Source organism: Homo sapiens, chromosome 20 (assembly GCF_000001405.40).
Source record: "Homo sapiens chromosome 20, GRCh38.p14 Primary Assembly".
NCBI classification, from domain to species: Eukaryota; Metazoa; Chordata; class Mammalia; order Primates; family Hominidae; genus Homo; species Homo sapiens.
Window position 1 is genome coordinate 38088454 of NC_000020.11, and position 13816 is coordinate 38102269.

Sequence of the window (13816 nt, forward strand, 5' to 3'; positions counted from 1 at the left end):
CTGCATCTCAGCCCAGGGCTTCTTGTTACATTCCTGCAGGAAGGGCTTTCTAAGTCAGCAGGGGCCCAGCGTCAGGGACCTACTTACCCTTGCAGAGACACTGAGAGGACAAAAACTAAGCCCCAAGGGGGCCAACAGCCCCAGACTTCACATGGCCTAGGGTTGTTTTCTATATATCTTGGCAGATTTATCAAGAGTACCTTTTTCCGGGAGCTGAGGAAAGAAAAAAAATATGCCCCATTCCTATCATTAGGGGATTCATATTCTAGAGGAACATAGAAGTCTCACATGTATGGAGAGAGCATAGAGCAGCTTGCTAGGGGCTCAGGTACACACCCTGTGTGAGGGAGAGCTCTGGAGCAGGAGGAGATGCGGAGTCGTCTCCTGGATGCAGAGCAAGGATTTTCCTAGAGAGGTGGAGTCCAGATAGTCCAAGGAGCAGAGGAGTGGAGGCCAGGCTTTGCTAGGGCTAGGAGAAGAGAGAGACCCCCTCCAGGCTTGCGGGGAATCCTGAAAAAATGGTCCACACAGACAAAGAGGGTTAGGAGGTTGTGAGGCAGGGGCTGATTTTGTAAGACCTTGAACTCTGCTCTGAAGGACCAGATCATGGAGCTAGTGGGGTGCCGTGCCTCACTTTCTCAAGGGAGTGGTTTCATGAAAGCTGGGCTTTTGGGAGAGAAGTCTGGTGGCATTTTAGGAGCCCTAGGGGTCAGGAGGCCTAACCAGGGACTTACTGCAGTGACTCAGTTATGGAATGAGGAGGCCCTGGTCACAGGGAGTAGCAGTGGGGTATTTTGAGCTTCTATAGTGCTTGTTTGCAAAACATGATAAATTTAGGTTAATCTCCAAGCTTTAACATAGGAAGTATAACTTCAGTGTTTTTTTTCTTGCCATATCTAGGTGGAGTCCGCAAAGAAATTGTGAGGCTCAGGTGTCTGTTTTATTTTATAAAGCATTTTGAAACTTTTGAGAACCAACAAAAAGAGAATGCAAATACCAAGTGTTATTTCTTTCTACTTCCAAATCTCAAGCCCTAAATTGAATACCATTTAATTCACTGTTGCCAATATGGCACTCTGCGTTCCTTTTTTGATAGAAAGTTTTGCCTTTTGAGCATTTGAAGCCCTAGCTTTGTGATATAGCTGAACAGGGTGGGCAGGCTGGTGGGGACAAGGAAGAACACGAGGACGAGAGTAGCTGCCCGGCTCCAGCAGCACCCATGCCCTCGGCACGCACAGACTTAACGGTATTGTCTTCTCTTTATCTCCTTAGGAATACAAACAGAAGCTTGCACGAGTAACCCAGGTCCGCAAGGAACTGAAATCCCATATTCAGAGCTTGCCAGACCTCTCACTGCTGCCCAACGTCACAGGGGGCTTAGCCCCCCTGCCCTCTGCTGGGGACCTGTTTTCAACTGACTAGGATGGGTGTCATGTCCCAGATTTCTGTTTGTACCAGCAGAAAGAAGAGGGCAAGTCATGGTTGGAAATAACCTTCTAGCCCCTGGTTCTATCCCTTCTTCCGCCCAGCCCCCCAGCCTCAAGAAAGAACCTCAGACTCTGATTCTCCTCTTCAGCCTCTCATCTTGAGCACAGTTCAGAACAGTGGCGACTGGAATCTGGTTTATATTCATATTTGCAAAGACTACAGACTTTTTCTCCCACTTCATATTTTCATGCCCCCCTGTTGGTTTTCCATTCTTAACTGTCTCCTTATACCTAAGAAGTTATGAAAATCATGTGTACTTCTGGAAGCTTTCGAAAGAATCTTGTCCCTCATGACAGCATTTTATCATGAAAGCAGCTTCTCCTTTCTGGGCTGGGCTTGTTCAAGTTCGGTGTGGGCTTCCACTAAGGCACTTGTCCTGGAGACGTTGGCTTTCCCAGCTGCATCTGCCCCAAAAGGTTGTAGGCACAGCTGTCGTAGCGTTGCCATAAAGAGTTTGCCAAATCTCTGATCCTCCCTTTCCATTGCTTCTCCTAGTGATGCACGAAGATTAGGTGCATTTATTTTGTAAACAGATTGGAGAATCTAGCAATAAGATTCAAAGCTAATCTGGAGCATAAAGGCACAGTTCAGAGACAGAATAACAGGGATCACAAGCATGAATTAAAAGGAATTTATTTGCTTCAAGTTCCTAGATACAACCTTCCCATGCTGCACTTCTCCACTGTCGGAGCACGTTCCGAAAAACAGAATGCCTTGATCCCTGGTGGGTGCGAAGGCAGTTGTTAGGGATGGCAGGCATTGGTGGGCTCCAAAAGATGAAGGCCCCACACACAGGTGTGCTGCATTTGGGATCTGTGTGGGTGTTTCTTGGACCCTTTCTTCTGGGAGTAGGGTACACACTAACGTTTAATCCGCTGTCTGGGTGCATGTCCACAGTACGGTGGCTAAACTCGAACATCACTGCAAATAGGACGCTGAGCAGGTCCGTCTGTCATGTCACGCCACTGCACAGGTCCTTGTCCCCACACGACGGGGAGTACTTGCGTCAGATGTTATTGAATAGCTCGTCTCGGGCAGGGGAAGCGGGGAGTTGGGGATATTAATTGGGGGTTTTAATTCTATTATCATGTCAGCTGACATTATGACTATATAATGTAGTTAGAGACAATTTTTATCTTGCTTATAGTAAAGGTTCAGCCTGCCAATTGTAAATCATTCTAATTTGGCAGGCTTATTTTTGACATTGGAAAGGGCAGAAAGCGATTTGCCCCAGTAGTGTAATAGGAGTTATAGACCAGAGGCTGAAACCCAAACTATATAAAAAGGAATTCAGTGGAGGGGGCTTTGTAATCTCCATTAATTTGTGTTGCTACTTCCAGGATCACCAAAAATTACATGTAATTTTACATGTTAAACACATTGAAACATAACCTATGTTTATAAAGCATAACGGGCTTCCCTTCCAGAAGCTCTCCTGCTTGTCATGAAGTGAGAACAATGAAAAGTCATAGCAGATACTCAGTTTAACTCTGTGTAGAACCTAGTAGTGTTTGAGCTGTTATTCAGATTTGAATTCAGACTGTGTGTTGTTTGCTTATGGACACTGCCTGTCGTTCTGTCACTGTTAAATTAATGAGTCTATAAGGTTTTTCTTCCAGAGGCCATAGGTGACATCACTAAAATTGCAAGATAAATTGTAATCTTTGCTGCTGCTGCACTCCCCAACCTCTCCCCCACCCCCCGTGGTGTGCTGCTTTCTAGATGAGCGTGTTTTGGAGCAGGCCCATCTGGGACACTCTATGCTTTCACCAAGGAAGTGCGATCTGAGCAGCCACAATCCAGCCAAAAGAGGATCGTAGATATTTGCTCTGATCAACTAGATGAAAATATAGCAGAATGGATTTAGCCCACTGCTCTGTTTTATCCAACTGAGTCTCTGACCAGCAATTGGTGCATAATTATTACAGCAAAAGTTAAGAAATGAAACTGTAGCAATTATGTAAATGAATGTGTTGGCCTCTTAATACCTGTTACTAGTGGACTTCCTGTGAGGAAGTTAGTTTTTTGTTTTGATGAAATGCTTTCGTTTTTTAAATCTTAATTCTGCTGTCCACATCCTCCCAAAGTGTGCTTACTTCATTTGTTTAATTTAAATGAACTTTCCTCCTTGTATGTATGAGGTGACTTGGTGGGTGGGGTGGGTGGTTTTTGTTTTTGTGTTTTTTCTTTCTTAGGGCATCTGTAGGCCTCAAAGGACCTTTCCTTTAGGTCATATTCCTCAGAAAGTCTTCAATCTTCCCTTGTTTTTGTTTGTTTGTTTTTCTTAAAGAATATTTTCAAAGCTTAAATTTGTATATTAATTTAGGACTATTTAGAAGTATAGGCTGTCGTTGGCGGCAGCAGTATATTCTGAAATGTCTCATAGATATATATTTTTGAATAAAGATGGTGTTGTTGAACAACATTGTGTGATTTTTTTTTTAAACTACCCTGTTACTGAAAACAGTGCCTTTCTTTGTAAGCAGTGGGTGATTAGTAATCACCAATAGAGAATGTGCTGTCGGCACAGAATCTTGTCCCTTGGGAGTTTTTGTGTCTGTTAGCGGCACATAAATACTCAGCATTTACGTAGTATTTTCTGGTTCTTTCCAGGGGCTTAATTAGCTTTAATTAGGCAGTCCACACAGTACCCATGAGAGGTGCCGCCATAGTTTTACCCTCATTGTACAGAAGTGGGAACTGATGGAGAGAGATTAAATGACTCTTCCCCCATACTTCACAGCCAATCTCTGACAGATTAAAACTTGGAAGTTCTTTGATTTTAGCGCCTTTGTTCACACCAGTAGGCCTCCTGAGAGCGATTTGATTTTGGCAGTACACGGAAAGCCACGCTGAACAGTAAAAAGACGAAAAATGTGAGATAATTGCGAACCCAAGTGGTATGTCTCTTAAAAACAGTCATGGCTTTGCTTTGTCCTTTTCACTTGTACATGGAGTGAAAGCATATTGACTGTGTATTGCTGGTTAAAGCTCTCAAAATAACAAAAATGATTTTGAATTAGGTCCTTTTGAAGCAAGTGATATGTTTGGAAGGATCATAAACCTGTCCACTGGGTAATGGCAGCATCTGCCAGAAGAAGTGGGGTTATCTTATGGTGCAAAAACCTCTGTAGTAGGTGTGGTTCATCAAGACTGCAACCCAGATAAGTCCAGTATTAGGAAAATTGAGACTGCATTACCCAAGTTCTGTTAAAATATGAAAGTTGGATGTTACATGTGAATCTCAAGAGACAAGATCTCCTTCTGTGTCCCCAGATTTCATGGTCTAATTTCTTCACTCCTCCCTATAAATAGTAAGTCCATGATTCTTCTGGTTTAATTAGCACTTCAGGCTACAAAATGACTTTGAGGTCTTCAGAGCTGAAGATGGAGCTACCCAAGAGTCCATGAATCTGTCAAAATGCTTATCCTTTGTGACTAGAGCCATTAACTCTCTGTGTCACCTTCCTGGGCAAGGTATTTTCCTCTCTGGGCCTCAGTTTTTTCTTTCTTTTTTTTTTTTTTTTTTTTTTTTTTCTTTTTGAGACAGGATCTAACTCTTGCCCAGGCTGGTGCAACCTTAGCTCACTGCAGCCTCAATCTCCTCGTCTCAAGCTATCCTCCTATCTCAGCCTCTCAAGGAGCTAGGACTACAGGCATCTACCCACGCCTGGCCAATTTTTTTCTTTTCTTGACTTTTTTTAGAGATAGGGACTCACTATGTTGTCTAGGCTTGTCTCGAATTCTTGGGCTCAAGCAATCCTCCCGCCTTGACCTCCCAAAGTGCTAGGATTGTAGGCATGAGCCACCACAGCCAGCCTCAGCTTTCTTACCTGCAAAATGTAGTATTGGACTAAATTATCTCTAGGTTTTCTGCGAGCCCTAAAAGCTACGATTGTTGTGCTGCATAAGAAGCATATGGGACTGAAGTCTGAGAACTCTGGATGGTATATCCTGGGCACGCAGTACTATTTGTTAGAGAAATGAATAGTATCACCATTGTGCTGTGTATACATAGGAAACCCTGGAGACCATAGTCTAAAGATCGGGGCACAGGAGACAGTGCCACGACCGGGAAGATGGGAGTAAACACAGTAGTTCACTGCACAAAATTCATATTTGGTTTATTTGGGATCTTTAAGAAAAAGCCATTTGCTAGCATGGTTTCCTCTTTTACTTTCTCCTGGAATAATTCATCTGGCTAAAGCTCATCGCTCACTGCTACCTCTGTAGGATTTTCCATTTAAAAATCATGCTTCCACTCTGAGGCACAGATTCAATTAAGAATCCATTCTCCTGTACAGTAGGTTGGGATTCATACAGCTTTATGTAGTGTTGAAAGCCCAGTGTGTTCACTTTTTTTAGACTCAAATAGTTATTTTGCATTAAAAATTCATTTCTACCATTGGTTTGATAAATATTAAAATTAGCAGGCCATTTATCTAGTATTTTTTGTGAATAAGAGGCAGCTGTGATGAGTGAAAACTCATATCTTCTCATCTCCTCTCACTATGATGACCTTGGGCAAGTCACTCAGCCCTTGGGGACCTCAGCTGCTTCTTACAGGAAATGAGTAGGGTTGATTACGTAACCTCTGAAGTCCTGTGACTAGGTTTTCAGAATATTTCTTCCTACTGAGAATCTTAATAAACTCAGTACCTGAATAATGTACTCCATAGATTTTAAAATACTCACTATACAAATTCTTAGGAAAGAAAGTAGTTACCAACATACTTGTTAATAACTGAGATGTTTGTAAAAAGGGCCTAGTGCTTTGGTACAAATTAGGGACTCAGTGGTGGCTGTTACTATGTTAAATAATGAATGCAGGTATTTATAAACACATGTAACAAGATTAAAATAGATGTCTGCTGGAAGGAGTAATAGAGACCACATGGCTAGACCATCTGCAGCATTTACAACAGAGTGGTCAAAAACCTGTCATCCTCAACCCCCCTCACCCACTTTAAGGGTATGAAAAGAGTCAGGAGTTAAGAGGTAAAGGAAGAGGATTTGGGATGAGAATTATTTGAAAAGGGCCATTGGTGTGTTTGGCATCTCCCTAGTGGGAGCAGTGGGTGCCACCTACACTTTATCTCAAGATTAGGGGAAAGGGCCTCCATGGAGCTTAGTATGTGTCCCTGATCTGGTGGATTAAACAGACCCCTGCCTGGAAAAGTCTGAAGGATGAGATGCCAGTGCTGGCTAAGTGTTTGATGACGAAGCAAGGGAGAGGCTGGGTGCAGACTCCACTCCTAGAGTTTGTCAGGGCAGAGCATGCATGTAGAAGAACTGGCCTGCATCCTGGGGTGATAGAGCCTGGGCAAGAGGCCCGGGGTTTCAAGGAGGCGAACTTCAGACTCACAGTGCTGAGGAAGGAGTAGAGCAAAGAGCCAGGGAGAAACCCTCACCCCAAGAGACCCCAGGTGATGGGAGATGAGGATGGGAGACTGGGGGAAGGGAGGGGAGGAACCACTCCAAGGAGCATCTGAGGAGCCCATGGGGGAAGGAAGCTGTTAAACTTTGTTAAACTTTTGCCCAGCAGCGCCCAGTCACCACCACCAGACCTTAAGGACTGTCTCTTGCTGCTGCTTCACTCCCACTGCTGTGTCCCTGGAAGGGTCAGAAACGGTAAACAAGGGAGGCCTCCCTTCCCGGATGCTGGCCTCCCTTCCCAGATGCTGGCCTCTCGCCCCCAGCAGACCCAGAGAGGTCACCTTCACATGATAGGCTATTTTGATTGTAACATGGGCTTGCACATTTACATCTCTGAAATGAGACTGTTTTTACACTTTAAGTGTGACTACAGGAATTTTTTTAAATAAAAATGACTAGAGAAGTTATGGAGGCCTGGGTTTTTCTTTGAGAGTTACAGGATACATTAGCCCCACAAATTGGATTTCAAGGGACATAGGAGACAAAGTTGCTTTGCGATTGCAGTTCCCCAATCCTGCCTGTGTACTATGGTGGTTACACACACATGATTCATTTTAGGACCTTTAATTCTTGGTTCCCCTTTCCATTTTTGTTACTTAAAAAGTTCATTTTCACAACCTCAGTTTGTTCATTAAATTGTGAATTCATAATCCTATGTATATGTGAACATATTTTTCAAAATTGTGGTAAAATACATATAACATAAATTTACTATTTTAGCCGGGCACGATGGCTCACACCTGTAATCCCAGCACTTTGGGAGGCCGAGGAGGGTGGATCACCTGAGGTCAGGAGTTCAAGACCAGCCTGGCCAACATGGTGAAACCCCATCTCTAATAAAAAAAAAACAAAAATATTAGCCAGGCGTGGTGGTGTGTGCCTGTAGTCCCAGCTACTCAGGAGTCTGAGGCAGGAGAATCACTTGAACCTGGGAGACAGAGGTTGCAGTGACCCGAGATCGCGCCACTGCACTCCAGCCTGGGTGACAAGAGTGAAACTCTGTCTCAAAAAAAAAAAAAAAAAAAAAAAAAAAAATATATATATATATATATATATAAAACTATTTTAAAGTGTACAATTCAGTGGCATTTAGCACATCTGTGATGTTGTGCAGCCGTCACCATGATCTAGTTCCAGAACATTCTCATCCCCACAACAGGAAACCCTGTACACATTAAGCAGTTACTCCCATTATCCCCTACTCCCAGGCCCTGGCAACTACTAACCTGCTTTCTCTCCCTGTGAAATTGCCTATTTGTATATTTAATATAAATGGAATCATACAATATATGACCTTTTATGCCTCGCTTTCATTTAGCATAATGTTTTTAGGCTTGGTTCATCTATGTTGTAGCATATATCAGAATTTCATCCCTTGTTATGGTTGAGTAATATTCTATTGTATGGATATGCCACATTTTATTTATCCATTAGTTGGTGCACAGTTGGGTTGTTTCTACCTCTTCGCGACAGCCAGTTGGGCTGCTGAAAGCATTCACATACCAGTTTTGGGTTGAACACCTGTTTTCAGTTCTGTTGGGTATATACCTAAGAGTGCCATTGCTGGGTCACATGGTAATTCTACGTTTAGCTTACCGAGGAACCACCAAATGGTTTTCCAGAGTGGGTGCACCATTTTCCATTTCCACCTACAATGTATGAGCCTTCCAGTTTCTCCACATCCTCACTGTATTAGTCAGGGTTCTCCAGAAAAACATACATAGAGAAAGGGAAAAAATTATTTTAAGGGAATTGGCTCACACAATTGTGGAGGTTTGGCAAATCCCAAATCTGCTGGGGTAGTCTGGCAGCTGGAGACCTAGGGAAGAGTTGCAGTTCAAAGGCAATCTGCTGGCAAAATTCCTTCTTGCTTAGGGGGAGGTCAATCTTTGTTCTATTAAAGCCTTCAGCTAATTGGCCGAGGCCCACTCAGGTTAGGGAGGGTAATTTGCTTTACTCTAGATCCAACAAGTTAAATGTTAATTTCATCCCAAAAACATCTTCACAGAAACATCCAGAATAACATTTGACCAAATATCTGGGCTCCATGGCCCAGCCAAGTTGACATGTAAAATTAAAAAAATAAAATAAAATAACCACTACTCTTGCCAAAACTTGTTATTTTTCATTTAAAAAATTATAGCTGTATTACTGCCCGAGGGCTCCATAAAAAAATATCACCGACTGGGTAGTTTAAAACAACAAGTATATTGTCTCACAGTTCTGGAAACTAGAAATCCAGAATCAAGGTGTTTTCAGGGTCACGCTTCCCCTGAAGCCTCCAGAAGAGGATTTTTTTTTTGCCTTTTTCAGTTCCTGGTAGCTCCAAGCGTTTCTTGGCTTGTGGCAACGTAACTATAACCTCTGCCTCTATCTTCCTAAATGGCCATCTTCCCTGTGTTTCTGTGTCCAAATTTCCTTCTTTTAAGGACACCAGTCATATTGGATTAAGGCCTACCTTAATAACCTCATCTTGATTAAATCTGCAATGACCCTATTTCCAAATAATGTCACATTTACAGATGCTGGGGGTTAGGACTCCAATATATATTTTTTGCAGGGGGGCTGGCGGCGGGAAACACAATTGAAGCTGTAACAATAGCCATCCTAATAGGCATGAAGTGGTGTGAGGTGGTTTTGATTTGCATTTTTCTAATGACATTGAGCATCTTGTCATGTTGGCCATAACAACATGGCCAAATGGCTTGTTGGCCATTTGTATATCTTCTTTGGAGAAATGTCTATTCAAGTCCTCTGCCCATTTTTGAATTGAGTTATCTTTTCTGTTGTTGAGTTGTAAACATTCATTAAATATTCTGGATACTAGACCCTTAATCAGATACATGATTTTCAAATATTTTCTCCCACCCTGTGTGTTGTCTTTTTACTCTCTTGATAGTGTCCTTTGATACACATAAGGTTTTAATTTTGATGAATTCCAATTTATTTTTTCTTTTGCCTGTTCTGGGGTCATATCTAAGTAAACACTGCCAAATCCAAGACCATGAAGATTTAGTCCTAGGATTTTATACTTTTAGCTCTTACATTTAGATCTTTGATCCATTATGAGTTAATTTGTATAATCCCACTACTCATCAGCATGGGAGTTTTGACCTGCTCCATTTCTGACCTGGGCTGGTTTACCCCTCCTTAGGCAACCTGATGGTCCCCCACTCCCAAGAGTTTGCCGTATTGATGCCAAACTTATTGCAGGCACCCAAACAGCATAGTGCACTACAGCCCAGAACTCCTGGGCTCAAGTGATCCTCCCACCTCAGCCTCCAGAGTAGCTGGGACTACAAGTGTGCACCACCATGTCCAGCCAAACACAATTTTCTTAAAAGTCTCTACCAATCTTTAATAAAATCATCATCTACTAGTTAAATGATATTTTGAGGTACAAATCAATAATGAAAACAACTAAGTTAGAGACTTTCATTCCTACCGATGAAGGATTAAATGCTATGGGAATTGCCCTCTACCATAAACAACTATAAAAGCAGACAAAATATATAAAACAAGTGTTTCAGGCATTGGACAATAGGAAACACAGAATTGTAAGTCCCTGAGAGAAGGAAAACAAACAGAGAGAAGGCTATGATTGCCTACCTTACTTATTCAGGGCACTTCCAGTGTGCAGCACAAAGATAGGGAACCAGAGATCCACCGTATCCCTGAATTGAGGAGATAGAAATCAGAGTTCAGGAAGGCTGAGGTGGCTAGAACTTGCAGGGAAAAATAACAGGAAGTATCTGAACAGAAACAGAGCTCAGGAGCTCTGCAGACAGTCCCCTGACCCTTAAGTGAGTCAGGAAGACTGAGGTGGCTGGAACTTGCAGGAAAAAATAATAGGAAGTATCTGAACAGAGACAGAGCTCAGGAGCTCTGCAGAGGGGCCTCTGGCCCTTAAGTGAGTTCCAATCAGTACATGTGTGGGATGAAATACCATGAGATCAAACAGAAAGAACAAACAGAAAGCAATAGACCCCAGAGCTCAAAAAAGTCTGGGAATAGTTGAGGTTTACACTAACTAGAGTGGGGAGAGACCTTGTAATACAGACAGCATTGGTAGAATCCTCAAAAAGATTATGCTTTTGTAGTAGGGCTAAATTATCCCTAGAGTAAAAGCTCCTCACAGCTTGCCATAAAAAAATAGCTTAATAGTAGACCTTAAATAGATCCACAGGTAACTTAACTACATGGCAGAACAAAGCCTAACCCTGTTTAAAGAAATACAACAAACCTAGCGCTCAACAATGTAAAATTCACTGTGTTTATCATCCAACAAAAAGTCACCAGGCATGCAGAAAAGTAGAAAATTATGGCCCAGAGCTAGGAGAAAAATAAATTAATAGATCCAGAATGACACAGATTATTGAATTAGCTGACAAAAGCCTTAAGATAGCTATTATCAATATTGCAAATACTCAAGGAGATAAAGGAAAACATGAACATAATGAGGAAAGACATGGGATATATATTACCTAAATCCAAAGCAAATTCTTAGAGATAAATAATATTTGAAATTAATCTGAATGGGATTAACTGCAGATTGGACATTGCAAAAGAAAAGATTACTATAACCTTAAAGACACATAAATAGAAATTATTCAAAATAAAGCACAGAGAGAAAAGTCTGGACAAAGAGTAACTGGAGGAACCTGTGGGACAGTACCAAGAATCAAAAATACATACTAGAAAGAGAGGAAAGAGGGAAAGAGACAGAAAACACTTTTGAAGAAATGTCAAAGAAATTTGGTGAAAATTATAAAGCCATAGATCCAAGAAGCTCAGTAAACCTCAAAAAGAATAAACATGAGAAAACTACACACATTAAAACACATCATAGTTAAATTGCTGAACCAGTGGTAAGTGGGTAAAAAGAAGCATTATATACAGAACAACGAAGGTAAGCATGACATCAGACCTCTTAGAAACTATGTAAGCCAGAAAAAATAGCATGACGTCTTTAAAGTGCTGAAAGAAGCAAAGCAAAACAAAACACCATCAGTCTAGAATTCTATATTTAGCAAAAATTTCTTTCAAAAATGGAAGGGAAATAAAGACTATCACAGCAACAAAAACTGAAAGAATTCATCACCACTACACTTGAACAATAAGAAATGTCTTTTCAGACAGAAGAAAAGTCATACCAGATGAAATCTGGATCTACACAAAGGAATAAAGAGCACTGAAAATGATAACTACACAGGAATATTTTTAAAAGACAATTGACTAAGCAAAAATAATAATACATTTGGGAAAAAAAGTGAAATGTATGACAACAACAACATACAGGTCAGAAGGCGATAAATGGAATTATACTCTTGTGAAGTTCTTATAGTATTTGTGAAGTGTTATGTCACTTGAAAGTAGAATGTGTTAAGGTAACAAGTACACTAAAAGTCTAAAACAACCACTAAAATAACAAAGCTAAGAGTTGTAACTAAGAAGTCAACAAAGGAGATACAATGAAATTGTAAAAATTATTCTGTTATTCCAAAAGATGACAGAAAAAGGAAAATGAGCAGAGAACAGATTAGACAAATAGAAAATAAATAGCAAGATGATAGACTAAAATCTAATCATACCAGTAATCACATTAAATATAAATGGTCTAAACATCTCAATAAAAAGGCAGAGCTAGGTTGGATTTTTTTTTTTTTTTTTTTTTTTTGATACGGAGTCTTGCCTCGTCGCCCAGGCTGGATTGCAGTGGCATGATCTTGACTCACTGCAACCTCCGCCTCCCAGGTTCAAGCAATTCTCCTGCCTCAGCCTCCCGAGTAGCTGGGACCACAGGCACGTGCCACCACACCCAGCTAATTTTTTGTATTTTTAGTAGAGATGGGGTTTCACCTTGATGGCCAGGATAGTCTTGATCTCCTGACCTCGTGATCCGCCCACCTCAGCCCCCCAAAGTGCTGGGATTACAGGCATGAGCCACTGTGCCCAGCCAATAGATAGGATTTTTTAAAAAGGCAAGACCAAGTATATGCTACCTACAAGAAACAAACTAAATATAAAGACACAAATAGTTTAAAAGTAAATGGATGAAGAGATATATCTACATTAGACAAAAGAAATCTAAATAATATCAGGCCAACTAGATTTCAGAGAAAAGAATACTATCAGGGATAGATGAGGTCATTTCACAATAATAAAGGGGTCAATTAAGAGGACATGATAATGTTAAACATGCATTTAATAACAGAGTTTTAAAATATATAATGGAAAAACTGATGGAACTGCAAAGAAAATAGACAAATACAAAATTGTAGTGGATATGTCAATACCCTTCCCAATAATTGATAGAATAATGCTGTGGACTAAATGTTTGTGTCCTCCCTCCTCTCCAAAAATTATATGTTGAAACTCTAATCCTCAATATGGTGGTATATGGAGATGGGGTCTTTGGGAGAAAATTAGGTAATGAGGTTGTGAAGCCCTCATCATGGGATTACTGCCCTTATAAGAAGAAACAGAAGAGAATTTGCTCCCTCTCTCTCTGTCCTCATCCTGTGAGGACAGAAAGGTGGCTTGTCTACAAGCCATGAAGTGGGTTCTCACCATAACCCAGCCATGCTAACACTCTGTTCTCAGAATTCCAGCCTCCATAACTGTGAAAAATAAATGCTTACTATTTATGCCATCCTGTCTATGGTATTTGTTACAGCAGCCTGAGCAGACTAAGACCAATAAGTAGGCAGAAAGTCAGGATTATAGTAGACTCGTACAACACCATTAACCTTGACCTGATTGACATTTCTAGAATACTCTACCCAACAACAGCAAAATACAAATTCTTCTCAAGTGTCCAAGTAAGATTTACCAATATAGGCCACATTCTTGGCCATAAAACAATAAATTCAAAAGTTCTCTAGCAAGCTGA

General features: G+C 41.2%; 1 protein-coding gene and 1 pseudogene across 3 annotated transcripts in view, besides 2 other annotated features; one reads left to right on the forward strand and one right to left on the reverse strand.

Annotated features, from left to right (window-relative positions):
* The window catches only part of RPRD1B (regulation of nuclear pre-mRNA domain containing 1B), a 58619-nt gene extending 54708 nt beyond the window's left edge, over nt 1-3911 (forward strand). For all 3 annotated transcript variants that reach the window (NM_021215.4, XM_047440346.1, XM_047440347.1), the window contains one exon: nt 1273-3911. In NM_021215.4, coding sequence (NP_067038.1) covers nt 1273-1422 — 150 coding nt within the window. In that variant the 3' untranslated portion in view covers nt 1423-3911. The remainder of the gene's footprint in view (nt 1-1272) is intronic.
* Nucleotides 4454-4748: a silencer, noted in NCBI's record as "tiled region #13539; HepG2 Repressive non-DNase unmatched - State 14:Gen5', and K562 Repressive DNase matched - State 14:Gen5'". NCBI's record gives its function as "represses a minimal TATA promoter and a strong SV40 promoter by Sharpr-MPRA in HepG2 and K562 cells {active_cell/tissue: HepG2 | K562}" and the evidence as "EXISTENCE:reporter gene assay evidence [ECO:0000049][PMID:27701403]".
* Nucleotides 7361-7420: a silencer, noted in NCBI's record as "silent region_12896". NCBI's record gives its function as "represses an Ori minimal core promoter by ATAC-STARR-seq in GM12878 lymphoblastoid cells {active_cell/tissue: GM12878}" and the evidence as "EXISTENCE:reporter gene assay evidence [ECO:0000049][PMID:35858748]".
* Nucleotides 9961-10247, reverse strand: RN7SL237P (RNA, 7SL, cytoplasmic 237, pseudogene; annotated as a pseudogene).